Below are 27633 nucleotides of genomic sequence, written 5' to 3'. Positions count from 1 at the left end.
ATTTAATGTACTCTAGTTACACAAGTACTGGGGAACATACTCAGTACCTCAGGAGATGGTTCACATCCTAGAGTAAATGCTTATTTGAATCCCATTGGCTTGTTCAATGCCTGCTACAGAATAAGCTATCAACAAATATGTATTGAATATTATTGATTTGCGAGGTCTTTGTCTCATGACATTGTCCATGAGTTTCCATATTTGATCATAGGATTAATACATGTGTAGCTCTGGTTTTGTGAAACTCAAGCTGAAGATTGGGTCATAGGACTGGTTGGACCCACTAAAGAGGCCACATCATTCTGTGATGCAGGCTAAAATTTAAATGAGGTCTCCGGGGCTGAATCTGGTGGAGGACAGGGTAAGGAAGGGCATTGTCATATCAGACTCTGAAAGGTTTTCGAACATCTATGTTTTTCTATTTGTACAAAGATATTGACACAAATGTGCCATGCTTGGGAATTATGAAGGCATTAAGCCCAAAAAGGGATCAACACTGAGAATCTTGGAATCAGACAAAGCAGGGAATGGGATCCAAAATGAGGATTTTAGTCAACATTGATAGTGGAAGTGAAAGGAGTGTCTTTGTATAAGCAAAGAAAAGATGTTCATTCCTCTAAATTCAAAAGGATCTAGTAAAAAAACAAATGTTTTAACCCCATCAGTCCAATATTCCCCACCATAGCTCTGCGTGTCTTGCTCTCTGTTGAAATTTCTTATGGGAGTCATAATAAATTCTGATGACTCACACAGAATAAAAACAAAGAAAACATTTTATACACTTGCAGTAAGAGTTTCCTTACTCTCCTCCTACCAGAGAAAGCAATCATTTCAAAAAAATTTAAATAATTAAAATGATTCTTTGAATGATTTGTATTGCCTTTTTAAAAAAACACAAGCCAAGTTTTTCTTATATATGAAAGAAGAGGTAAATGAACACAGAATAAACTCGTAATTTTAGAGCAGAGAGCAAGTTTAGGAAAAGTAAGTTTAATCCTTTCATTTTACAGATGATAAATTTTGCTAGCTAGGAAAAATGTTTCTCTACTACACACCTAGTGTCAGAAATAGGTCTTGAGCCCATGACTCTTGTTCTGTTTTTGTTACATAATTGCATCAAACATTCTAATCTAAGGTAGGGGTTGGCAAACTGTAGTCCATCAGCCAAATCTGGCTTGCCACATGTTTTGGTGATGTTTATTGGAACACAGCTATGCTTATTTGTTTGCATACTGCCTATGAGTACTTTCATGAGACAATGGCAGCGTTAAGCAGTTGCTACAGAGCCCATATGGCCCTTACAACATAAAATATTTCCTATCTGGCTCTTTACAGTGAAAGCTTGCCAACCTCAGGTATAAACCACAGGTATCTCTTATAGTCTTTCCTCAGTAGTCTATTAATTTATTTTTCTTGCAACTACCCACTTTCCAGCACCATCCACATTTTCCTAACAGAATGCATGCCATGAAAAGGAGGAGACAAAAAACTTCACCTTCCAGAAAAGATTGCTCAGCTTATATCTCACATTATTCAATTTTTATTGAAAAAAATAAATTTTCTAAAGTAAATTGCTTTTAAGACCTTTCCAGAAGCCACTAAGAAAACACAACATACTGTCTTAGTTGGATAATGGTTAACATTGTAGACATCATTGTGATTGATGCTGGTGTACACAAGCAGTACCAAAAACAATTGGTAATGTGGAGTTTGTTGCAGAGACTGGCTTCAAAGCTTTGGTAAAGGATCTGTAAGCTAAGGCAGACATCTTCAATATTATATACTTTTGTGTTGATTTCTGATTACCTTTGTGATCACACTTTGCAAGCACAATTATCTTTGAAATTTTGTCTGAGAGTTCTCTGCTGAAGATCTTTTCACCATCTGAGTTGATAATGGTGACCACACTGGCTGGACCACCAAAATTATACTGCCAGTGAAAAATAAATAAACAATATTTACATGGGTACTCTCAAAGAATAAAGTAACCCTGATAGTTAACTGATTATCCTGCATCTGTAGAAGAAATGAGAGAGTAAAATGAATGATAATTATCACATAGGAAAAAATGTGAGACTTAATAAAATAAGTTAGCTTCGCAGCTTATAGAGATAAAGATGAAGGTGTTAAGTCAAGGAAAAATAACATGGAAAATAATAAGCAGAAATAGATGATAAAAGGAACTGAGAAATATAATGTTCATTTGAACCTTACACTCTGACGACATAGACATGAAGAAAATGGCAAATTCAGCTGTAGCCTCACATGAGTGGAAAGACAACTTGATGTTCTGTATTGCTAAATGGGGTTCCGTTGTCGTTGAGGATGTTGGTATTGATCCCCTGATTGACTCCCTTTGAAGCTACTGAGGATAAGCAGAATAGCAACCTTGAGGTGTACATGTAGCTACAAGAAAATTATTCTGAGGTATCTCAACTTTGACTATGGTATGACAGACTCATAGATGCTTTCTCTTAATATTTTCTGACAAATGCTTCCACAAAGTAGGGCTAGGGGGTACATTTAAAGAAATTCGAGAAGTGATATGAAATTCTTTCGGCTGACAAAAGGACAATGATGAGAATAAATTTTATAAGATATATCCAAATACCCGGAGCTAGGATTCTAGGCAGATTCCAGCGACTGATGACACTTATCTGAGTTGATGCGTAGAGTCAGGTAATAGGAAGACAGCCCGGTCAGAAAAGCATCATGTACAAAGGAGGCCCAGGTGATTCTGATGAGCAACTAGGTCTGGGAGTCATTGAACAGTGTTTTGATCAATAAAGGATTATAGGTTTTAGAGTTCTCAAATAATGTACAACTTACCAAATGTGTCCAAGACACTGAATTTTATATTTCATTATATGTTCAAATTAAAACTCTCTTTGAATTAATTTGGAAATAAGCTCCTTTCAAGACCCTGTCTGATGTTCATAAAGCCTGGTTGGGTCCAAGCATATCTCTAAATTAAACGATCCCATTTCCTATCTACACACTGGGGACCAGCTCATCTTGTTTGCTTCATCCTTTGTAAAGTCATTTTTCCCACTTTTACTAAAAGCTACAGCTGTCTTCCTAATTCTTCCCAACTCCTTCCTTAATATGATTAGTAGAAACTTTCAACCCCTGTGTTCATGCTCCTCAACAGGCTTACAAAGGGATTTTTACTAGGGAATTGTCCCCTGGATGAGTTTTTCTGCCTAGTCTGAGTATTAGCATAATAGTATAATTTTAAAATAGATGTGTTTACTCTAGCTCTAGCCACTTTTAAGTAACTTATCCAGTTTCTTCTTGGAATGAAGAAACCAAGGGTAAAATAAAATAATAAAAGCAGAAACAAGAAACAGAATAACATAGGAATTAAATAATTTTTTTCTGAACATTGGCAATATACCTGCATATTTGCTTTAAAAAACAACTCTCTTAACATTACCAAAGGGAAATGAACCTTATCATATATCTGACTAATAATATGCAATGTAAAATATGAAATAAAATATTATAATAGAATTTTATATTTAATCTCCTGCCTTTTGTTTATCCATTGAAATGCTTTTATATTGACTAAATTTTATTTAGAAGCCCTTCTCCTGGAACTTCAGCTTTTGTGGCTTTTACAACATGTGATGTAGTGAGCCTCAACTTCCATAAGGTGGCATCAACCCACTAGAGTGAGTAGGACACAGCTTATTTTATTTCAGGTGACCTTGGACCTTCAACTTTCAATTATTCCTAAAGTTGTTTACACAAAGAGAAAATTCAAAGACATTTTAAAAGACTCCTTCAGATCTAATATCTTCTGACTTACAAAAAGAAAATTTCAAATATCCAAATCTGTTCTGAAGATGCTAAAGTTCAAGTGTACAATTAAAGTTTATCTGAATCTCTCTAGTCTTCCTTGGACTGTAGACTCGGACTTGAAATCCTGCAGGAATTCTATGCTTCTGGGATTTCTGGCATTTTGTCTTTTGGGTTGTAGTCAAATGCAGAGTCAAATATATCATGCAAATAGTAATTTTCTTAGTTTTCTTATACAGCAAGGAAAGGTGAGAAATGAAGAAGCATGCACGATATTAAATATTTATTATTTTACCTTTTTTACAGGTTGAATTAAATTTTATTTAAAAGTAAAAATAATAGAAATAAAATAATGCTGCTTCTTGAATTAATTCTGTATAAATATCAAAATCTCTTTAAAAATGCATGATTAAAATAATCAAATAAATGTGATATTGAGCTGCATAATCCTCATAGGATAAAGGGGGCAGCTTAAATGAGTTTGTTAATAATAAATGAAAGGGAAAAAGAAAAGCTGCACTGAGCTCCATATTCACTTATTAATGAATCTTAATATTATCGCTTATTAATGAATACTAACTAGCTTATATAACCAAAAAAAAAAACAAATGTAATTTTCTTCAGTATATTATTAGGACACAATACAGTATGTTTCACCAATATAAATGCATTTATATTCTCAGCTATAATTTCAAAAGGCCATTTCAGAGAACACTGTTACAATTAAATATGAGGAAACCTGTTCAGTTCTCAACTCCTAGTACCAGTTATCTCTGAAGAAGTTCTTGTAATATGAGAAATAATGACCTAATATTGCAATAAAAGCAAGCCTTAAGCAGTTTTCTTAACTCTGCTTTTTACTGGCTCGGTGACATAGTATAAGTCATTTAATCTCCCTACATGTAGAATGGGAATTTACTCCTTATTCTCACTTTACAGCAATGTTAGGAGGATTAATTGGATAATGAATCTAAAGGCTCCTAGGCTCAGTAAAGAAAGACACAAATGCAATGTATTATTTGCCAGTGAAAGAGTCAATGAGGAAGCACTTTTCTTACTAATCAAAATTATTCCTAGCAAGAGAGTGAATGTTAGCAAGTAAATTAAGACAATTTTTGATAGAGTTTCTAGTCTCACATATCCTATGGCAGCAAGCTAGGAGAGCAAACAAAGCTCTCAGACAATTTAAATATATTCCTCTCATTAAGAAAGTGGGACCACCTCAAAGGCATAAGTGTTTTCCATAGTGATTTCATAAAGTCATTAAAGCATAAACTTTGAGATAGTTGGACCAGACCTAATGAAAGACACATGTTCAATAATAGTAAAAAAAAAAATAGTGGTCATTCAAATGAGGGTTTCTTCTTGTGTTAGCTTTGCATTGTTTTCTTAGAAAAAAGACCACACCATGGCAAATGATTTTAAAAGCAATGTAATGAAAAGCTATCTAATTTGGTAGCAGGTATAAAATATAATACCCAGAATTAATGATAAAAGGGAATACCTGTGAGCATTCATAAGAATATACCCATCGTGGAGTTATTGAAATAGAATTGGATTGGGAGTAAATTACCTCAGGCTGACCTTTTTGACTGTTTCTCCTTAGGGATTTTTGACCTCAAATTAATTTTTTTTTTTTGCAGTAAGAGATCTGCATTATATGTAGGATGTTTTCTAGCTGAAGGACAAATAATTATAATTTCCATTTAGAGAGCTTGAATTACAACAAGGGCTATTTTCTTGACCAATAGAAAATGAAACCAGCTCTGCCTTTGGTCCCGATGTCAAAGCTCCCAAGTGTGCCTTTGCCTTTTTTGGGAATCGCTGTATATGATGAGGTTTAGTGGACTGTCTAACTCTCAGTGGTGCCCCATTCAGTCTTATGTTGACTTTAACCACTCTTCAAATGTGAAATCAGGTTTGCGGCAGGATTTCTGAAGTTGTTCTATAAAACCAGCAACTCTCATCCTGACACTCTTTACAGGTAGTCTATGAAAATAGTTAATTAATACATTAGATAGTAGAGTTCTTACAACCAAATACTGCTTAACTTTACCTTTGAATAGTTTACCTGGTTTATGAATTGGAAGCATTAGCAATCATTTGCCAACGTCCTTCCATCAGTATGATTGATGGCCTTGTGGTTAACCATCTTTCCTCTTTCACTCTGTGTTATTGGATTGTAGCAATTATCTTGGTCTTTCAATTATAAGTCCTAATCGAATGATCTGATTTCTTCTGAGGACACTCAGAGCCTTTTCTCAGTCAAGTAATTAATTTAGTTTTAGACACATACTAGATATATTCACAGGGAGCAGATTACCCATGGTCATCCAGACAAGAAAAAACAAGTACATACGTATTGCAAGTGCTCTAAGAAAATTATATTTTTGTCAACTGATAATTTCAATTTAAAAGTAATAAAATAGTTAATAAACTATGTATCATGTAGTTAATTATAAATACATACTTTTAAAAGTTGATTATATAGGGTAACTTTTCTTATAATACATGTAATTTCTTGTTAAATTGATAATTATTCAACAACTAAATCTAATTTTAAAGTTTTTAGAAAGTAGCCAGTGAATCAGGGAAAGGTTTTGGATTAATTTGATGATATCATATATATTTTACATAGATGAGGCAATATTTTTTCTGTTTTTTTCCCATTTAATGTTTCGAATAATAAAGAAAAAAGAGATGTTTCTTTTAAATGCTTATTTTAAATCAGGGAAGATTTTTAAAGATTTTTGTTAACCTCACTGTAAAACTTTCTTCTATTTATACATAAATTACTGGCAGTTTAATTCTCTCTTTTTAACATTGTTGGAAACCTGTACATATATTTCTTCGACTAAATTTTTTTACTTTGAAAAATCTACCACAAGGTGGCAGTCAAGAAAAGTCTTTTAAATTTCATCTTGGAACATAATTTATGAGGTGAAGAAGTCAGGTTCATGTGAAGAGTTATCATACACCTGACATGTCAGTGGCCAAACCAGTACATAAAAGCTGATGTGCACTTCAATTAAAAATCATAATTATTCATACAGAGAAAACAGCAGGCTATGAAACTGAATGCTCTGGAATTGAGCCAGAAATCTTAGATGGACATCTTGACTTTAACAGTGTGAGCCTTGGCAAATCACATTAATTAGGGAATTCCCTAATTCCCTAATGTGTCAAGACACATTCATTTCTTTGTGCCAATCTAGCAGTCATTTTAATATCATAATGAAAAATAGCTATCTGAGACATTCAGCTCCAGCTACCTCCAGGATGCTATAGGAAGAAGCAGTGCTGAAAGAAGCTTTCAGTTTACAGCAATTCAATTTACCTCACCTAACCTCCACTTTCAGAGATAAAGCAGATAAGAGCATTGTGCTGGACACACTGGAGTATACACGGACAAACAAAACACAAATCCTTGGCCTCAAGGAAACAAACAATCAAAAACATAGGACAGACTAATATGGATAAGAAGGAAGTTTTCAGGAATTTCTTCACTAATAACACTTTCAATTATAAGTCCTAATTTGATGTACAAATATCAAAAATACATAAAAATATCCAAATTTCTCAGACTAACTGGAAGTAATATTTATAATTTCTATATTTTACATTTAATATTGAAACAATATCTAATTCATTTGGTAATATTTTATTTAAAAGTCCATAATATTGACTTGTGTGTACCGTGTTTAGCACGGGTTTATAATTCACTGCAAATATGGCAGCTTGTGTTTCTTATTTTACAGAGTTAAGTTTCTTCAGCAGTAAAACTACTGTCTGTATATTGCTTATATACAGAAAATTTGTCACCATACATTTATTAGTCATAGCAAAATGCCTGTACATAGCAGGTGTTCCACAAATATTGGTTACCTTACTGATAACCAATGTAGTTGAATATTTGCTATGTTTTCAACATATGATCTCATTCAATCCTCTATTTTCTTTATTGTGCTAACGAGAAAACTGGGACTGAATTTATTTGATTTCCCTAATGCCATATAATTTACAAGGGACAGGGACAGGGACAGGATTCCAAGCTGAGCCCACATGGCTAGAGAGTCTATGGTCTTAGCTATCACGTGAAGATGCTTCTTACAAGTTGATAAGGTTTAGATTTTTGTTCCTTCCAAATCTCATGTTGAACTGTAATCTCCAGAGTTGGAGGTGAGGCCTTGGGAGGTGTTTGGATCATGGGGGTAGATCCCTAATGAATGGTCTAGTGGCATCCTCTTGGTGGTAAGTGAATTCTCATCCTGAGTTCACATGAGAGCAGGTTGTTTAGAAGTATGTGGAACCTCCCTCCCCTCTTTCCTCCTGCCTCTCGCCATGTGACACATTGGCTCCCCCTTTGGCTTCCGCCATGATTGTAAGCTTCCTGAGTTCTCATCAGAATCAGATGCCAGCACCATGCCTCCTGTACAGCCTGCAGAACTGTGAGGCAGTTCAACCTCTTTTCTTTATAAAGTACCCAGCCTCAGGTATTTCTTTATAGCTATGGAAGAATGGACTAACACACAAGTTTTTGTCAAACTATCTTCACAGAGATGTTAAGGATGTGTCTTTTCTTTCATTTGAACTAGTATTGAGCCATGCAAAGCCCTTTTAACTTTAATATAACAGAACTCATGTGAATAAGTGTTTTGTTCCTCACACTAAATTGATACAGAACTAAACTTTTATCTCTAGTCCTGAAAATATCCATGGACAATGGTTATTGGAAAACAGAGACTATGTCCTCCTTTAACTTTTTAGGCCTTCATAGCTCTGTGTGTTCTTCAAATAATGGTAGCTTGCTGAACGTTGGTTTGCATATTTATGGGCTCTGGAGGGATTTGATAATATATATCACTGACTGGGTAACTAGTAAACATCTTTATCAGAGTATGTTTCTAGATGTATAGGCAATTTCTGTTACTAATTTGGTAAGTCTCATTGCATTTTCTTAAGGAATAATTTCAATATATACACTTGAAATTCAAATTTTTGAATTAAATGAAAGGCTGGAAACAACAGATGTCAAATGTTTACATCAAATTATCAACTAAGAACTTCTCTGAGTGATTACTTGCTTTATGTGTGCCAGGAAAACCATAATAAATGTATGTTCAATGTTTACTGAAATTTATAGTTAATAATTCCTTTTTATATGTAATCACCTTACCATGGTATGATCTCTTTCTCTCCCATATCATTTAACATTTATAGAAATTAGCCCCCAATTAGTATTATTTTGAAATGACTTTTTATACTGATGCATACTTGCCTAGCTATGGTCTGGTGAGGCTATCTTTAGAAATTCTCAAACAGGGGTGGTTTGTTCACACAGGGAACATTCGGAAATGTCTGGAGATATTTTTTATTGTCATGGTTGGGGAGGGGATTGCTTCTGGCACCTAAGTGATAGAGTCTTAGGAAGCGGCTAAGTGTCCTAGAATGCACAGGGCAGCCTGTCACAAAAAAAGAACGTCAATAGTGCTGAAGTTGAGAAATCCTGCTGTTTTTAACCTTTATATTCAAAGGTGTGTATATACACACTTCACATATTAAGAGAGTTCATGGTTCTCATATTTTTGAGAGTCCCAGATGTTTAAAAAGTGCAAATAAGATATACACAATTTTACTACCAATTCTCATTGTATTTATTGACATTGACATTTATTTAATATCTTTGCATAGTGCTAAGTTAAATCTTTGCACTAAAGCGTTAAAAAATTAGGAAAAATGTTACAGGCAAAAAATGACATCACAATAAAGCAAGATATTAACGATGGGGAAACAGTATGCTGGGAATATAAGTGAGAGGGGATATATGAGAACTTTCAACTTCCTGCTCAATTTTTCTGTAAACTGAAAACTTCTCTAAAAAATAATCTGTTAACTTTAAAAACTGTAGTGTGGTGTATACAATAGTAGCAATGAGACAAGCATGGGCCAGACAGCGAGTGATGCTATAGCACCTGAGCTAGCACAGTGTGAAGGAGAGGGATTTCCAGGCAGAGAGAAAAGCTCATAGCCATCTCCTATGACATGAATAATTCACCTGAAAGGGAAAACTTTCTGTGGAATTTTCACTGGTATAATTAGTAGATACTTTAAGGCAGTGGTTTCTTGGCACCAGCACAACCTGTCCTTTCTAATTTCTGCAGTTAAATAGATCTCCTATTCCTTTTTATATATACAGCTGAAGGTCCTATATTATCTTACTTCTATATAGCTCCTTTTCTTTGATAACTACTATCTGATACATTATTATTTTATTTTTATTAGTCTATCAAGACTTTTTATTTCTTCTTCTCTATTCTTCCACCTCCAACTCCATTTGAAATGGTGGTTTGCAATAGTCTAATACTAGAGGTGAATAAAAGAGAATTTCAAAAGACCCCCCAAAAATCCCAGTTACTCTCTTGTTTCTCTTCAGTAAATTAATAACGTCTTCGGATGATCTTCCCACTGTATACTACCTAAAAAAGACCCAGGGCAAGAAATTTCAATCTGCCAATTTTAGCTTCTAACAAATGCTCTATTGAACTCTCACATCTTTTGGTTGTTGTTGTATTTAGGATAGACTTTTTCTGTCACTGGGGCACAAACGTTCCTAATTTTAGATTGGGGTTTTCAGATGAAAAGCAGGCAAAGTATGCCTTTGGCCTATGTTTGCTCTGCCCAGAGAAGTAGTTCCTATCCAACCCTTCCCCGTGGAATTTAACACTGAAGTTTGGGGAGAAGTGCCAGATAGTGATAAGAGCCCCCCCTCTGCCTTGCATTATCTCCTTCAGACATTGTTAGGGAAATACAATTGAAAACAAAAACTTCTCTCACCCAGCAAAGCTCTGTGTAAAGGTAGAAGGGAAAGAATGCAGTGTTATTATCAAATAAGCATTAAGCAGAATGTGAAACTCATCATACTCTGCTAATAAGATGGTAAACACAGTAAGAAATCTCACCTCTTATGTAGCTAAGCAAACAGAACCCATTATTAAATGCATGTTCTCAAAATAAACAATAGCTAGATCCCATTAAGAGGACTTGGCCTTACCATTTGTTACACATCAGGTATTCTAAATTCACTTGTTAATTGAGATAGTCACTTGGGTTTGCTAATTTCCTTTATAAAAAAAAAATCCTCCTGACTTCATGACAGGAGGAAGTTTTGCAACTTGAAGTCAGGCACAAGGTGAAATTAGGGCTCTATCTCCCCAGGAAACTGGGAGACAAACATCCCTAGATTTTTTTTTTAAAGAGGCGTACTTAGTCTTTAAAAACATTCATACATATTTCAAAGGACTCACAAGTATTTTAAAGTAAATGTCAAAGAATAGATGTTTGTGGGGCAGGGGTCTCTTACCCTTTTTGCGCCAGAGAAAATTAATTTTTCTTTTTTAAATTTGTATTTACCCTTACAGCATACAGTTCACCTGTGTGTGGTGGTATCCTTTTGAAGGGTTACATCAAAAGTGTGTGGTATCCGTTTGAGGGGTTATTTTCAACTGGTTCAAAGGTCATTCCAATGCATACACACACACATACACGCACACCTATTGATATTTATTTATAATTATCAATCACACACACATTTAACAAATCTTACATCTGTTTATAAAGATTTCTACAAGCTTTGTTATGTTTCTTACCTTCATATATTCTAAGGAATTATTACAAAAATATTTGGAGCAAAGTTTTTATTAAACTCTGAAGAAAAAAATATCTGTTGAAATATATTTCTAAAATTGAAATATAAACCAGAGAGGGGCCAAAATAACTTTAAAAGAAAACCAGACTCTGCTCCTATACACAAGTTACTTTAAAATGTTTTCTGGGCCAGGCGCAGTGGCTCACACCTGTAATCCCAGCACTTTGGGAGGTTGAGGAGGGTGGATCATGAGATTAGGAGTTCGAGACCAGCCTGGCCAGTATGGTGAAATCCCATCTCTACTAAAAATACAAAAATTAGCTGGGAGTGGCAGCACATGCCTATAATCCCAGCTATTTTGGAGGCTGAGGAAGGAGAATCACTTGAACCCAAGAGGCAGACGTTGCAGTGAGCTGAGATCGTGCCATTGCACTCCAGCCTGGGCAACAGAGCTAGACTCTGTCTCAAAAAAAAAAAATATTTCTATTGTTGTTGTTGCTTGTTTATCAAATGCTTCTCTAAGCAAGTAGCCTTTGAAGTCTTGCTACTCAAAAGTGTGGTCCATGGACCAACAGCACTTGTATCACCTGGAAAGCTGATGTTAGAAATGAGGATCTCAGTGTATACTAATACACTTAATTTGAATCTAATATTTAATAGGGCTTCTACTTACCCTTAAAAGTACAAACAAAATAATTACAAAACCATGACTCATCTCTATGTACTACATTTAATTTTATGGACCAATGAAAACTGCTTACTCTCTTCTAAAATTAAGAGTCCGAAAGTACTGTTAGTTACTGTTTCAATCACTTAGTGATTTCTTTTCCAGTATACTCATAATCTCACTTTAATATTCTGTAACCTATAAATAACATCTTAACATTAATTACCAACCCCTTATACCCTTATATAAAATAGAAGGGGAAAGAAGTTAATTAGTTAATATATAAATACACTGAAGGGAAGAGGGAAAAGAGAGACAGAGAGGGAGAATAGGAAAGAAAATTAAGAGATATTATAGCCAAGGACCTTATTCACAGCCTCCTTCCTCAATACCCCTTCTATGTTTCCTTTTTCCCCATTCAGCATCTCAACTGGATGCTGTTCTTAATTTAGTGCAGTGATTCAGACTTTCATTTCTGGGGGATTCTAACCCCTCAATAATGCTGATCTTACAAGTGTACATTTTCTATAGTATTTCATTAAATTACCACTGGACAAATATTAGGAAGGGCTCCAGAGGATCTCTAGGGGATACAGAGGAAAGTCTATTTGCCTCCACTGTTTAACAGCAACCCTATTTTCCCTGAGCAATCAGATTTATTTACCACATTCTCTTTGTTGTTGGTAAAGTAGCATAAGGAGTCTCAAGTGATCAGGTGCTTATTCACATTCTTATTTAGTGGAATGACATTTACATCCCACAGTAGAGGAATTTCTTTTTTAAGAAATAAAGATCTCCAAATAAGTAGAACCCAAAGACATGGCTATGGAAAGCTAGATTATTTACAATGAGGCCCTTGTTTCCTAGACTAGTGATTGGCTACATAAGAAATAACATCATATGTCGATCACTGTTAAGAAGTGATCACTGTTAAGAGGTATTACTGCAGGGCAACATTTCAATGTCACCAAGTCTCATCTAGTAGCTAGTACTAAAACTAAGTCTTTAATAAGCCATGCCAAAGTTGCTCCTAGAATAAGGGATATATGTAAAAAGCTGTGAATATCAGTATATTGGTTCCTTTGTTTTTCTATAAAATGCAGTTTTAATAAGTAATGTATGAAATACAGGACAATAAATATACTCAGTAACTCCATAACATTTTGATTCTGACAGAAGCATTATAGTCAGAAAAAATGAATTTAAATCACTCTTTCAAAGAACTGCCCACTTCTTGGTGGAATGAGACCATTTTAATCAATCCATCATCAGATGGTTTCAAGACATCCCAGGTTATAGTGACATATTAGAGTCTCAGCATTGATATTCATCACTGTCTTTTTGGTTCTCAATAGTGACTATAGCCAAGTTATTGTTGGAGAAGTAAAATCTTTTTCAGACTGGATAATATCTTTCCCTATGAACATGGCTTCTTTCTTTTTGAGTCTCTCAAATACAAATATATTTATCCAACTTTCTTTTGACTTTGGAGTTTTCTCAGTCACACTTCTAATCAATGATGGAATGCTGATGCACATTGCTCAGCTTATGACTTGGAAAATCAATTAACACCTGATTCATGATAAGTAGTTGAGGTCTCATAGTGAGTTGGTGTCCCATTGAGAGCTATTCATTTCCTGCCAGAACTCACTAACAACCTGGTGGATTATTTTGAAAAGGAGGAAATTTCATTTTGATGGTGAGTATAGAGTCATCTAAAATCCTAGGGGCCTGCTCTGTGATTTTCTTAGTATGTTACCACAGGCAAAAGAATATGCTGAGAGAGTAAAGGGAGAGTCAGAATCCCTTGCATTCTAAAAATCATTGCCAAAGCTACCTATTCAAAGACAAATGAAAATAAAGACACATACCCTCAGAGGAATTTTTCTGAGCTCAATTCTCCCCAACTCTGCAAAACTATATTTTTATCACTACCAAAGTATTTATCATGTCAAAATCTAATTTCCTATTTATTTCCCTACAAGCAACATTATACTGGGAGGGCAAAAATTATATCTTTATTTTCATAAATCATTCATGTACCCCTGAGTGGCTGGCAGATAGTATATGATGAGAAAAATGAATTAATATGTAATATCTCACCCTATACCCAAGAAAAAAGCCCAGGAGAAAAAAAAAGATTAAAGAATTGAGGTAATCCCTCAGGACTTTAATTGGCCCTGTAATTCTGGACTCTTTTTCTCACTCCTGGACTTTACATGTGTAATTTGTCCTAGATAAAAGGCAAAAACAAACAAACAAAAAACCTTGATGAATTTTACACAAATCATAAATTCTATTTGCTTGTCTCATGTGACTTTCCATCTTCCATTCTTTAGGTCTTCTTAAACAAAAAACAACTCTTGATTTTTATGAATTTTGAGAATCCCAGGATGCAGCCACTTGTCAAGTTCTCTGGATGTTTGGGGATTTGGGTATGAATTCTGACAACCAAATTTGCAAAGCTGTGAGTTTATGTTTTTATTTCAAAAATATGAAAAAGGTAGGCTATGAGACTATGAACTACTGCAGTTTTCAAAAGAATAAAAGGTATCCCTTTTTTGTTGCACGTGATAAGAGGGACTTCAACTAAATTTTTTAAATCTCAGATTAAAATGCAAAGGAAACCAATATAAAGTACATGCTGCTGGTGTTAGAAATAAAGACCAAGTGAATACGATAAATGAGTATTTTGAATGCCTTATATTTAAGTTAAAATATGTCCCTGGCTGAAAGACAAAATGTACTACCCATGGCTAACTGAGGGACTCAAATTAAAACAGAACTAAGCAGCCATGGTTGGGTGAAGGAGGGGTCATGATGGTGTGTTGAGAAAGGCATTGTAAAAGTGTCACAGGACCTCCCTTTCAACAATCAAGCCAAACAAGTTCCTGTTGTCAGAGCCAAGATAAAATGGTGGCTAGAACACCAACCTGCACTCCCCAACGCCTGTCAGACTTCTGGTTTGGGGCTTGAAAACCATCTAGTCAGAGCTCGACTGTTTTGACCCATCAGAACTGAACAAATTTGATATGTTTATGTGCATAAATGGACCTGATTGAGAACCAGAACAAGAACTTTCCCTATTTAGGCCGGACTTTCTCTTTGTTCTTCTGGGAGCATACTTTCACTTGTACTGGAAGGCAGTGTCTCCCCAGCCTGCAGATTGACTTTTTAAGAAAATAAAGCTATCCCTCTTTCCTCCACAGGTCTCATGGTCTTTAGTTAACATTTAAGTTTCCAGTGAACTACTTGTATCATAGTGCATAATCTATTTAAAATAATTCAAATAGAAGAGTAAAGGGTTTTTCTTTACTATTGTTATTTTTAAATTTTCAATCGCAGCTAGGAGAGTAGCCATGCCTAGAGAGATCTAAAGCCTGAAGCAAAGCCACCCCACAGCTGAATGTAATCAAGATCAGCTTGCCCCCAGCAATGAGTAATTGAGGGATTATTGTTGTATGCCACTGAAATTTTATGGTCATTTTGTGTCCGGAATTGGTGGGTTCTTGGTCTCACTGACTTCAAGAATGAAGCCTCGGACTCTCACGGTGAGTGTTACAGCTCTTAAGGTGGTGCGTCTGGAGTCTGTCTCTTCTGATGTTCAGACGTGTTCGGAGTCTGAGCTAGATACAAAGGTTCTCCACGTCCCCATCAGATTAGTTAGATACAGAGTTTCCACACACAGGTTCTCCAAGGCCCCACCAGAGCAGCTAGATACAGAGTGTCCCTTGGTGCATTCACAAACCTTGAGCTAAACACAGGGTGCTGATTGGTGTGTTTACAAACCTTGAGCTAGATACAGAGTGCCGATTGGTGTATTTACAATCCCTGAGCTAGACATAAAGGTCCTCCACGTCCCCACCAGAGCAGCTAGATACAGAGTGTCCATTGGTGCACTCACAAACCTTGAGCTAAACACAGGGTGCTGATTGGTGTATTTACAATCCCTGAGCCAGATATAAAGACTCTCCACGTCCCCACCAGACTCAGGAGCCCAGCTGGCTTCACCTAGTGGATCCCACACCGGGGCTGCAGGTGGAGCTGCCTGCCAGTCCCGGTGCCGTGCGCCCGCACTCCTCAGCCCTTGGGTGGTGGATGGGACTGGGCGCTGTGGAGCAGGGGGCGGCGCTCGTCAGGGAGGCTCGGGCTGCAGAGGAACCCACGGAGTGGGTGGGAGGCTCAGGCATGGCGGGCTGCAGGTCCGGAGCCCTGCCCCGCGGGAAGGCAGCTAAGGCTCAGTGAGAAATCGAGCGCAAAGCCGGTGGGCTGGCACTGCTGGGGGACCCAGTACACCCTCCGCAGCCGCTGGCCCGGGTGCTAAGTCCCTCATTGCCCGGGGCCAGCAGGGCTGGCCGGCTGCTCCGAGTGCGGGGCCCGCCAAGCCCACGCCCAGCCGGAACTCCAGCTGGCCCGCAAGCGCCGCAGGCAGCCCCGGTTCCCGCTCGCGCCTCTCCCTCCACACCTCCCTGCAAGCTGAGGGAGTGGGCTCCAGCCTTGGCCAGCCCAGAAAGGGAATCCCACAGTGCAGTGGGGGGCTGAAGGGCTCCTCAAATGCCACCAAAGTGGGAGCCCAGGCAGGGGAGGTGCCGAGAGAGCAAGCGAGGGCTCTGAGGACTGCCAGCACGCTGTCACCTCTCAATTTTACAAGCAACTTACTTCTCCAAGACCAGGTGGATATGATTCATGCTCTGAAACTATGTATGTCCATCTACTTCAAACTGAAGCTGTCATTTAATTTGCATTCCATCAATTGAATCAGATAATAGGCTCTATTGTAGCCTGTAAAACTGACAATGTCTCCTTTCTTCAAGTCGCATTGACGTAAGAAGAGTTGTATTTTTATAGAAAGAAAATATTTTGCCTAATCGCCTTCAAAGGAGCCTTGTACACAATCTCTAGGTGAGGAATGACTTTGTAATCCGAGGCATAAGGTAATTGTAAATGATAAGTCACCTATTATCTATTAGAGTTCAGAATGACTCAAAAGTTAAAGTGATTCATGTGTTTTGCTGATGGATAAGAAAGATGTTTTGAAAAATAGGAAATAGGCTCTTTCCTAGAATACCTATAATATACTTAAACATGTAATGCACATACATAATGTATATCATTATGAGATGAATTGTGTCTCACAAAATTCATAACTTAAAGCTGTAACCCGCAGTACTTTGAATGTGACTGTATTCAGAGAAAGAACGTTCACAGAGGTGAGTTACTATGAGGGTGTAGGGTGGGCCCTAATTCAGACTAGTGTTCTTATAGAGGAGAGTGTGCACAGAGGAGAGATCATGTGAGGACACAGCGAGAAGACAATCATCTGTAAGCCAAGGAGAGAGGCCTCAGAAAAAAATCCACCCTGCTAAGAGCTTGATCTTGGACTTACAGCCTCCAGGACTGTGAGTAAATAAATTTCTGTTTTATAAGCCATTCAGACTGTAGTGTTCTGTTATGTTAACCCTAGCAAACTAATAAATACATACCTATCATATATATGTAATATATATTATATATACATTTTTAAAATTATTACATTTATTATTACTGATAATATACATATACGTGGGAAACATAACGGAAAATATGGCATTATTACATACATGTAAGTTATGGCTTAATTGATTCACTATCTTCCAATTGGTTATAATTTTGTTTGGGAAATTTTTTCCACTGACTAATAAGTTATCACCTCATAATCCTTTTATAAGTGAAGGTGGTAAATAATAAACATTTTAAATAAAAGAAAGAGAGTTCTGCCACACATTTTTTCAGCTGTATATTTTAATCAGTTCTACAGAAATCAGTTAGGTGAAAGACTTATAAATCTCTCTTGGAATATAAAGTAAAAATTTTAAAGTGAAATACTAGAGATATCAATATCTAAAGACATTGTTAAATCAGTTATTAATACATAAGGGAATAATATGTAGTATTAGTACAAAACAAAAATGATCAAATATTTGTGAGATTTATTTAACTGTGAGAAGGTTTTAAAAACTTATTTCCTTTATTGGGGAGGTTACACATTTTCCTTAAATATGACGCATACTTCTTCATTTTCTTGCTAAGTAGCATCAGCTAAAGTTAAGATGATGCAGTCAATTTAATTGTTTGTTTGAGACAGGGTCTCAATCTACTACCCAGGCTGGCACAGGGTGATGCAATCTTGGTTCAGTGCAGCATCAGCTTCCTAAGTTCAAGTGATCCTCTCACTTCAGCCTCCCGAGTAGCTGGGACTACAGGCTCATGATGCCACCATGACTAGCTAAGTTTGTTTGTTTTTTGTTTTTTTTTGTTTTTTTTTTTTGTAGAGACAGATCTGACTCTACTTAAGCTGGTCTTGAATCCCAGAGTGCTGGGATTACAGGCATGAGCCAACACACCCAGCCTTTTTTTTTTTTTTTTTTTTTTTTTTTTTAAATTCCAACAAGGGTCATGTTATTGTCAGACTGAAACTTGCTGATCCATGGCAAGTCATTTTTTCCCACACAAGACCAAACTTTAATACTTCTGGAACCAAAGATGCACCCCCTGGTAGTATTTGGCAGTAACTAGAAGTATGAGAAATGGCAGAAGTAATGATGGTATGAGTGTTTTTAGTTCTGTGTTAACATTCGTCCTGGCCATACCTCGATATTTTTATTCATCCACAAGAAGTATTTAATAAGAGTTAATGTAATTAGATGCTATACCAGACACAGGAAGAAATAGAAAATCTAACTCATGGGTCTCTGATATGTATCATGCACATCAAAGCACTTACATAGGAAATACCCAGTGAGTGTTCTATTAACTAGAACATGCTAAGTTGAAATCCACTTTGTTACAGCTAAACTTCCGTGATCTTGAGTCAAAAGAAATCAGAGAGATAAGTTTGTGATGAATATTATTTGACTTATAAAATTGGTTAACCTCATTATTATAAAAGGACATTTAAGAAAAATAGGAAAACATAAGTCATTTTTTTCTTTATCTATATATCTAATAGAAATCCCTTCCCCTTTGGTACAGTATTCATACCAACTGAACAAAACTGCATTTTTAAAAAATTTATATACTGATTATCCCAATACTAATAGACTATCCTTTATTGAGGAAGCTGTAATTTTTCCTTAAATATGACACATACTTCTGCATTTTCTTACTAAGTATCATCAGGTAAAGTTAAGATGATGCAGTCAATTTATTTATTTTTACTTGTGACATCATCTCACTCTATTACCCAGGCTTATATTGGAGCAAATGAGACAAATTGTTTGGACTATTTCTTCACACAGGACAGATACTAAAAATACATTATATTAATTGTTCAATATGAATCTGCCCTTAGCTGACTTAATCACAATATCTTTATGACTTTTGGCAGTTTCCTCATTTGCTCCTTCCTCATCTGTAATACCTGCCTCAAAAAAATGTTGTGAAGAAATTATGTGGGTGGCTTGGCCCTGGTGGATCGCCCTTGGAGAGTGGAGGTGCTTTGCTCAAAGAGAGCACATCTAAGACAGTAAATGGTGCAAGCGATTGACATAAAAGCAGAACTTCTAGACAGTAATAGACATATCTGATTATCCTGGGAGTGGGCAGTTGACAATGGAAGAAATGACTTGATTGTATTTTAAAAATTGCAGTTAGTAATTGGAAGGTTCCAAAAAAAAAAGCACAGCAGAGGACGAACACAAGGAGGAAGAGTGAGGCTGTGCGCCCGATCCTTGGTAAGCACGCAGATGTTGGCTCTCTGTTGGCTGAAGTGGGTAAGGAATGGCCACTCCAACTGCAGTTCTCTGAGTGTGCTGAGGATTTTTTAAAAAGAATTAAGAGACCTACTCAGATGTAAGAAATGAGCCTCTTACTGTGGGAAACAATATGGAAGGAACTACTATAGGGTTTTAGTCTACTGGCAGAAAGGAAATCTGCCACTGAGAACCACTCTCTAATCAGGATGAGACTGCAGGCATAAAACAATGAAAAGACAACAAATAATGCATACTTAGAAGTTATTTAAGATTTTTATTGTCAATTAAGTGGAAAAAGTTACATTCTGCACACAGAAAATGAGAAGGACAGTGATTGGCTTGGCAAAAAATCTAAAGGCAAAAAGAATAAATACTATTGCAAGAAAATGTTTGAGATTTTCATGTTTACTTCTTTTTCCTTTCTAATAAAGAACTAAATTTGTCATGTGGAGAATTTGTCTGTAGGACAGAACACTGCCCTGAAATATTCATGCTGATTTTAGAAAAATAAAGTCCTGGGACTTTAAAAACTACATACTTATAAAATATGATACACAATTTCAAATGTTTAACCGAAAAAAATAAGCTGTACTTAGATGAGCTAAGGCATGTGGCTAAGTCAAATTACCTTAAAAAAATAATTAAATAAAATCGTTACTGGCTGGGTGTGGTAGCTCACACCTGTAATCCCAGTACTTTGAGAGGCCTAGGCAGGTGGATCACTTCAGGTCAGGAGTTCAAGACCAGAATGGCCAACATGGTGAAACCCCATCTCTACTAAAAACACAAAACTTAGCCGGGAGTGGTGGCATGCACCTGTAATCCCAGCTACTCGGGAGGCTGAGGCACAAAGCATCGCTTGAACCCAGGAGGCAGAGGTTTCAGTGAGCCAAGATTGTGCCAGAGCATTCCAGCCTGGGCGACGGAAGGAGACTGTCTCAAAAACAAACAAACAAATCACTGTTATTAATTATGCAAATCTTAAAGGATATTAGTGTAAACAATATTGGGCAGGTGTTTTCAAATTGATATGAGGGGGTGTATAATAGCATCCCCTCAACACGCACATACAATTTCTGAAGAAATGACCAGTAATAAATCCTTCAGCCACAAGATAGAGGGTGAGTTGGATCCCCAGTGAGCTGGTGAAATAAACAAAATTTCCTAAGTTAAATTATTCTCTGACATATTTTTGGATAGGAAGGGGCATTGGCAATTGGAATATCATTTAGCTAGGAGGAGATATATTTACTGAGTTGACAACACTTTTATGAAATTTATAAAAACTTTTCTTATTCAGATTTGATCAAAGTTTAACCTTAACGGTACAAAACTCACAGTTTTGGGAAATGTTATTAAAGTTGGAATAAAATAGCTAATAGATGTTGTTACATTCTTGGAATTTGTGGGTTATAATTTAGATAATTTTTATTTTGATACATTTTAAATAGGCATGGTAGATCTAGTTAAGACAGAAACTTTTAACAATAAACTAGAGAAAAATTTAAGTCTAATCAGACACACTTCTCAGAGTGAAAGGAACTATTTATTGATGATCCTAATTTGAATGAAGAAAATGTTTTATCACTAAAGTAGTTTTTGTAAATTGAATTTTAGAATAATAAGTATTATTTGCACTCAAAGAGAAATGAAGTTTAAATGAGGTGATTAAAATGAAAGATTTATTCTTATTTAATTATCTACGTTTTCTATGAAAGTGTTTGCAATTTTGATAAGGACAACGGAATGTTTTTTGGAAAGCTATTGTTAGATATCTGACGTGCTGAATTTCACCAGGGCTATATATTTGCCTTGTTCAGTCAGTAAGAAGGAGATATATAATATCTATATATCTGCTGTTAATATAGAATGAGTTGTTCAATTTTAATTATTTTTATGACTTGAATCTTAGGTCTCAGCTAATAGTTAGATGGGTAGTGGGGCTTGAAGAAAAATATAAGCTCTCATTACTTGGGTGGACATGTCCCAATCATATTTTTTTGTTTCTTTTGACATTTTAAATTATCTATTAAAAACTAAGTTCAGGAAAATACATTAATTAATTTGAACTTTTATTAGAAACTTGCTAGGGACATTCTAGATCTCTATTATAGGCTTTTTCTAGGCTACTTTATCATCTCCCGAAACCAAGAACTTTGGTCTGTGGCTTTCATGATCAAGGGCATATTTTTTGTACTTGAGAACCACTGGAATAAACTCCTTTTGGTACAGGAAATGGATTATAGCCTGAAATAGCCACAGTTAAATCCAGAAAAGGGGATTTCAAATGAGGGATGTTTAGAAGATGCTAGAAGAAATGGAAATGAGAAAGAGAATAAATAGTGGAATTTGTAATGGAGCCATGGAACATTTTGCTCATGTGGAAAGAGAAGTGCTAATACAGAATTCTCAATATCCTAAAGCCATTAAGTCATTAAGTCATTATTTCTGCTTTTTCTTTCCTTTTAATTGAACTGTGCTAAATCTATGGGGGCTTCAAAATGTGATGTTGGATGATTCATAAAAATGTTCTGCAGCATTTATTCCTCCATGGGAGAAAGATTTATTCCTCCATGGGAGAAAGATTTTTATTTTCTGTGACATTTTTCCTTCTTAGGTTATCTGTCCTCTCATGTGTGCGTAATGCTAGAGTGGAGCCACCAGTTCTAAATACTATGCAGTCAATTTTTAAAAATGTGTGCCAGAGTTAAGGACAAAAAAAAAAAGAGTCTAAAATCACCATTCTGTTTCAGTGCTTTTGAAATACTCCGTGCTTTACCTTTAGGTAATTGTGATTCATTTCAGACTTCTCTGAAGGCTGGTGAGAAACATGCAAATTGGGAATTGTGTTGGTTCCAATGTAAAATATTAGACTAATGACAGAAAAGAAATATTTTTATATGTGAAAATAAAATACCTGATCCCTTTCATGTGGCATGTACCTAATTAATAGAGGTAACTAACTGAGAGAATAAATTAACGAAAAGTGAAGAGGTATTATGGGTTGTGAAGAATTACAGCTCAGGAAATATTAGAAATCTTATATATAGTTTTTGAAATATATTTTGAGGTTATCATAGTATGTGGTGATAAAGAAGGACCATATGTATATTGAAGGAAATAGATATAATAATCGCTTAAGAGAATCTGATGTACTTTGCTTAAAAGATAAGTTGTGAAATAAATAGGAATTGGCTTGGAATTGTAAAAAATTGTGGTTTTTAAAAAAGGAGAGATTAGATATAGAAAAACTAAATGAATAAACATAAAACAGAACAATTGATTTTTTAACCTCAATTTACAGAATGCGTGGCTCCAAATTTCACCTAGGGGCAAAGTTCTGCATAATAAAATTTTTATACATTTACTAAAACCATTCTAATTGCATGGCTTTGTTCTAAACTTTATTAATGGTAGAAATATTCAGTATTGATATTATTGAACCATAAATTTACCAAAAGTAGGCCAGGCGTGGTGGCTCACACCTGTAATCCCAGCACTTTGGGAGGCTGAGGCAGGCGGATCACGAGGTCAGCAGATCCAGACCATCTTCGCTAACATGGTGAAACCCCGTCTCTACTAAAAATACAAAAAAAAAAAAAAATTAGCCGGTCATGGTGGCAGGCTCCTGTAGTCCCAGCTACTCGGGAGGCTGAGGCAGGAGAATAGCGTGAACCCAGGAGGCAGAGCTTGCAGTAAGCCGAGGTCGCACCACTGCACTCCAGCCTGGGCGACAGAGAGAGACTCCAACTCAAAAAAAAAAAAAAAAAAAAAAAAAGAATTACCCAAAATAACTAACTAAATAGTTTTTTGGATTTGTCCTTCTATGTAATGACTAAAGCGCTGTTAGAATATGCTAGGGATTGCTATCTTCAGTTGAGATTAAACCAAGTAACTTGTCTAAAATAACATTTCAGGTAAGTGATAGGACAGAAATTAAGGATTATATGACCCTAAATTAATGTTCTTCCTATTCTAAAAGGCCTCCTAGCATTCAGTCAGAGAGAAGAAATACACTTAAAATATATACACTATTTTTATCCTATTAATGAACATGATAATGGGGTGGATAGAAAGTGATGTGGTTGGGGTTGTATTTTAGGCTGATTAGGGAGAGTCCTCTCTGATAAAGGGATGAAGGGATAAAATATGAGATCTAAGTAGGGTAAGCAAACCTTCCCTGATTATAAAAAGGATAAAGAGAGGAGCATTCCAGGCAAGAGAAGAAATATAAATGCCCTAAGATGGAAGCTTAAGTAATGTATTCAGCTGTGTGCAAAGAGGCCAACATGGCTGGAACTCGGTTGCCAAGTAGGAGATGAATTTAGAGATGTTGCCAGCACCAGATAATCTAGGGACTTATAGGCCACAGTAATCATAAGAGGAAGTCAGAGAATTTAGAACATGGGATAAGTTGGCCAGAATTGCATTTAAAAGTTTCATTCTGGCAGCAGTGTGTAAAAAATTCTCTGGGAGTGTCAAACAGTGAAAACACCAGAATCAATCAGCTACCACAATCGTTTAGGGACTAGTGGGCAAGTGGTGGGAATTGATCAGATTTGGGACATATTTTCAAAATAGTGCCACTAGGAATTGCTAGTGGTGATTGGAAGGAAATTTTATTAAAAAGAGGGATGTCAAGACTTTTGGCTTAAGCAATTGGGAAAATTAAGGAAGAGTGGTAATGAAAACTTGTAGTATGTTAAGTGTACAATACCTGTTCAAAAACCAAATGAAAGTAGTAGTTCAAGAGGTTGAGGCAGAAAAAAAAGTTACATAATATCAACATATCAATGATATTCAAAAGTATGGGGATGGATGACATCACTAATGACATAAGAGTCATGGATAAGTGACGAGGTACTCAATGTTGGAGACTCCAAACTTGAAAAGTCAAAAAAAAAATTAAGAGGATACACAAAAAGAGCCTGAAAAAAAGAAAAAGTTGTTGTTATTGTTGTTGTTGTTTTTAAAGGCAGGACTTCATGTTGTCCCAGGGGTCAAGTGAAGGAAATGTTTTAAGAAAGAGTAATCAATTATCTTAAATGTTAGTGCTATAAAATTCTGAATAATTATTAACCATTGGATTTGGCGATGTAGAGCTCAGTGGTGTTAGAATGAAATTTTAATGGAGTAGTGGAGACAAAAATCTGTTTGAGGCAGGTTTAGAATAAAAAAGATGCAGTGGTAATACAGAGCAATGGCAAATCTTGTAGGAGCTTTGTGGAGATGAGGGATAGGGAAAGAAAGTAAAAGTAGATGGGGGGATATATCTAAAAGAAAAGTTGTTTGCTATGATAGGAGTATTAGAACATGATTCTATGACAATGGAAAATATAAAAGAGAACAATTCTGATGCAATTAAAAAAAAAACAGAGCAGCAGGAAATAACCTGAATGAAATTCTTAAGCAGGTAAGAGGGATGCTAGTCAATGCATAAGTATATAGATCTCTTAATTTAGTTTTTTTCAGAAAGCAGAACATGAGACAAAAGCATGGCTGTGTATAGTGTATTTAGAAATGTTTCCTGGAAGAAGAAATAAGTGAGCAGGTAGAATGGGATAGAAAAAAGGAAAAGCCAATAACAGTTGCACCATTGAAGATGTGCTTTTCAAAAAGATCAGATAAAAATACAGAATCTATCCAGAATTTTCTATTTGCTCACTTTACTCCACTTTAATCCACTGCCTTTCATATCCCCCTATTTAAGGGTCATCTCTAGGGATGTTCAGGATGATGATGGTTATGATGATGATTATAATGATTGTATGTACAGAGATTAACACACCCTAGGGAACATGACTGATGAATTAATTCAATACCTGATATAAAATGAATTTTCCTTCCAAAAGCTCTACATAATTACCATGAAATTGTGGAATTATCAACTCTAATTATTCACTGAGAACATTGAGCAGGGTAGAAGAGACATTTTTATTTGTTGAGGATGCTCACAGGGGCACTACATGTTTGTCCACTAAGAGAAACTTTTTCTTCTGCACACCTCTGTTGAAACTAACTTGGAAATAGGCTTGCTTGTCTCTAAATACACTTTACAAGAAAGATAAAGCCTATAGAGTTTTATATGTAACAGGAGACATTTCAAATTGTTGGTGTAAGAAGTATATTTATGATCCTGTGTGGGAGTCTAATAATGCCTATTACCTATGATAGATGCACGTGGATATTGACTCATTCTGAATCGGTTAGAACCATTAGTCATAGAATCTCACAATATGTCAGAGTATTTGCTTTTGTCTTCACTTTTACTGAAGTACAAGGAGGTTAAGTGACTTGCCGATGATCATCAAACATGTTGGAGAAGAAGCCAAGAATAGATTCTTAAGATTCTGACTCCAAGTTATTTATTTCACCGTACTTATTGACTTTACCTTCTGCTTAGCCATTTGTTGGGCACACTTACAATAAATATAATGAGAAGTGACATTCCAATTTTTAAAATAAAGCTTTACCTTATACCTCTGGCGGAATGAAAACAGAATAAGTTTGCAAGGCAAATGTAGATTTTTGATGGAAGTCTCCTTTTAACAACTTGGATCATTCATATAATTTCTTAAAGTCTCAGTTTCTACATCTGCAAAATCAATGCAGTAGTTTCTTAGATACCGTTTAACTCCTATGTTCTATTTTCCAAGCAGAAGATAACTGAAGATTTGGTCATTTTAACTTCATTTGTGAGGTGTGTGTCATTACCATTTGGGTTTCTGATCAAATATTCCCCTCATCCATTATGAGGAATCCTGAAAGTGCAGATTCTTAGGACTCAGCCGTCAAAAGGCTCCACTAGGAAGTCCATTGTTAAGTTTATCTCTTCCTCCTATAGTGTCAGCTACTTTAGCTTTCTTAGAGTCTAATAGTATCTTTCCACTACTTCTAGAAATATATATGTCTGTGGAAATCTCAGGTCCACTTTCAGAATTAAATCTCATGAAAGAGCTTGCCTGTTTTGTTCATTTTTATATATATATATACACACACACACACACACACACATACATATATACACACATATATACATATGTGTGTTTGTGTGTGTGTGTGAGTTTCTGGTGACTGAAATAGTGTCTAGCACATAGTAACAAAAACAACTTGTATGAATTTATTAGACAAAAAAAGAGCTAGAACTCTGCCCTGTACAGTCTCAGGGATACCATTGGCTTAATGCCCATGATAAAAGCACAAGGCACGTAATAAAATGATTAGATAATAGTAAATATTTCTTAACATCTCACCTCCACTTCAAGGCCCAATTCCCAGAAATTATTTGCTTTATTTTTTGTATGTTTTTAGTTCCTATAAATGTTGCCAACACAATTCTAATGAAAATATGTGTACCTCTATTTTTGATCTTATCAGTCTCTGCTCTGAAAGACCAGGAAATTGGTTTACTTACCTGATTTGTACATCTGAATACTTTATGAACTTGTTTCTTGTATTAGCAAAATTCTGATTTCTTCTGATGTTTGTCTCTACTTATTCTTAGATATCTATTTCTTGTTATTCCAAATCTAAATATATTTTTTCTTATCTTTGCTTCTTAAAATGAGGAAATTAGATGCTGTTTTTATTTACTTCTAGCTCTCTACACCCAAACTATTCCTTGCAAGTAATTTTGATACAGACAGGAGGCAGAAAAATACGGGGTAGAAGAGGATGGCTCCCCAGCAATAGCCCCACCCTCAAGCCTGGAAACCTACAGCCCTAAAAGGGAACAGGCATTCCTGTTTTTGCATCCAGATATTGCCTTTTCCAAGACCACTCTGGCC

The 27633-nt window shown here is 35.8% G+C and overlaps 1 long non-coding RNA gene across 1 annotated transcript; it reads left to right on the top strand.

The window, feature by feature from the left end:
* Window positions 1-16983: 16983 nt before the first annotated feature.
* Window positions 16984-17543, top strand: LOC124902967 (uncharacterized). Its single transcript, XR_007063370.1, has 2 exons — window positions 16984-17047; window positions 17379-17543. It is a non-coding gene; the product is annotated as an uncharacterized LOC124902967 (long non-coding RNA).
* Window positions 17544-27633: the final 10090 nt, after the last annotated feature.

This window comes from Homo sapiens, chromosome 12, assembly GCF_000001405.40.
Source record: "Homo sapiens chromosome 12, GRCh38.p14 Primary Assembly".
In the NCBI taxonomy this organism is placed as follows: domain Eukaryota; kingdom Metazoa; phylum Chordata; class Mammalia; order Primates; family Hominidae; genus Homo; species Homo sapiens.
Note: the sequence above shows the minus strand (reverse complement) of the source record. Positions and strands in the feature narration are given on the sequence as shown.